This window comes from Homo sapiens, chromosome 1 (genome assembly GCF_000001405.40).
Source record: "Homo sapiens chromosome 1, GRCh38.p14 Primary Assembly".
Classification (NCBI taxonomy): Eukaryota; Metazoa; Chordata; class Mammalia; order Primates; family Hominidae; genus Homo; species Homo sapiens.
In genome coordinates this window covers 22,291,711-22,293,260 of record NC_000001.11, presented here as the reverse complement: position 1 = coordinate 22,293,260, position 1,550 = coordinate 22,291,711, and the positions used below count along the sequence as shown (strand labels likewise).

At 51.9% G+C, this 1,550-nt stretch overlaps 1 annotated feature.

Moving 5' to 3' along the window:
• Positions 636 to 1,135: an enhancer, noted in NCBI's record as "H3K4me1 hESC enhancer chr1:22618619-22619118 (GRCh37/hg19 assembly coordinates)". NCBI's record gives its function as "activates a minimal SCP1, AML or CMV promoter by ChIP-STARR-seq in naive H9 embryonic stem cells {active_cell/tissue: H9 hESC(naive)}" and the evidence as "EXISTENCE:reporter gene assay evidence [ECO:0000049][PMID:30033119]".

Below are 1,550 nucleotides of genomic sequence, written 5' to 3'. Positions count from 1 at the left end.
GTAAAAATCACTGGGGATCATCTTTTTTTTAATTTTTTGTTCTTGTTTTTGCATTTTTTGAGACAGGGTCTGTTGCCCAGGCTTGAGTGCCATGGTGTGATCTCAGCTTACTGCAGCCTCAACCTCCTGGGCTCAAGCAATCCTCCCACCTCAGCCTCCTGAGTAGCTAGGACTACAGGCACATGCATGACCACACCCAGCTAATTTTTAAAATTGTTGTAGAGACAGGGTCTTGCTCTGTTGCCCAGGCTGGCCTTGAACTCCTGAACTCTGTTGTCCAGGCTCAGGTGCTCTTCCCACCTCAGCCTCCCAAAGTGCTGGGATTACAGGCATGAGCCACCATGCCTGTCCCCTGGGGAGGGACCATCTTAGAGTCTTCTGAGCCCAGAAGTGTTGAATCAAGGCCTGGCAGTTGGTGAATGCACAGCTGCCTAGTACCATGAATTAAAGGAAGCTGAAGAGGGGCTGAGGTGTCCAGGGACATAGACAATAGTAGCTACTACTTACTGAGCACCTACTACATGCCAGACACTGTCCTAAGCACTTTGTAAATACTTGTTCATTGGCTCCTTCAACAACTCTTTGAGAAAGGGGTTACAAATACCTCCTTAGAGAAAAGGCCCAGTGAGGCTCAGAAAGATTAAGCGACTTGTCCAAGGTCACACAGCAGAGTGGTGGCAGAGCTCAGGCTGGGATTCAAGCCCAGGCTGCCTCACATCAAAGTCCTGGCTCTAAATGCTTATGGTGCCTTGTCTGTGTCAGCTAGTTGAAAAAAAAAGATTTGAATCAATGGCTGCTGAATCTGGACATTTCTCTAAAAATAAAAATAAAGGTCAGTCCCTGTCACATGAGGGAAAGATGAAAGAGCTGGGTGTGTTCAATTGGAGAAGAAAAGGAGAAAGGTCATGTTCGCTGACTTCAGAGCTCTGAGTGGTTGTTGCAGGGAAGAGCAGGGACACTTTTGCTGGATGGCTCAAAGGCAGAAATGGAGGGGCGGGGGCGAGCTCTGGGAGCCGCGGGAGAACCGTGGACAGACCCCAGCCTGGCCAGCGTCTTTCCCCTTCATGTGGAAGGAGAGACTCGAGCTTGTCCTTGCAGCTGAGCAAATATTTCTACTTCCCCGTTGCAGGCTGCATTCGGCCTCTTCTCCAGCCAGCTCGGCGGGCCTTCAGAGCAGCGGCCTCGGGCCGTGGGGTGGAGGTCAGCTCAGCCACCCTGACCAGATGGGACCAGAGTGATGACTGCCAGGCCCAGGTCAAAGAGCTTTGCTGACATCCTGTCTCCTTCTGAGCCTCACCACCGTGACTGCAAGGGGCTGCAGAGTCCCCCTTTCCAGCCCATTCTCCATGCCACTGCTGAGTTGTCTTTCTAGAACTTAAAGCAGACCAGGTCACTCCCCTTCTCAAACCCTTCCATGGCTCCCTACTGCCCTCAGGATACATTTAACTTGGCCCAAAGGCCCCACATGATGTGGCCCTGCTCACCTCTCAGGCCTTGCCTCCAACTGCTTCCCCTAAAAGTCCCATCCCACCTTTCAGGCCTCTGGAATG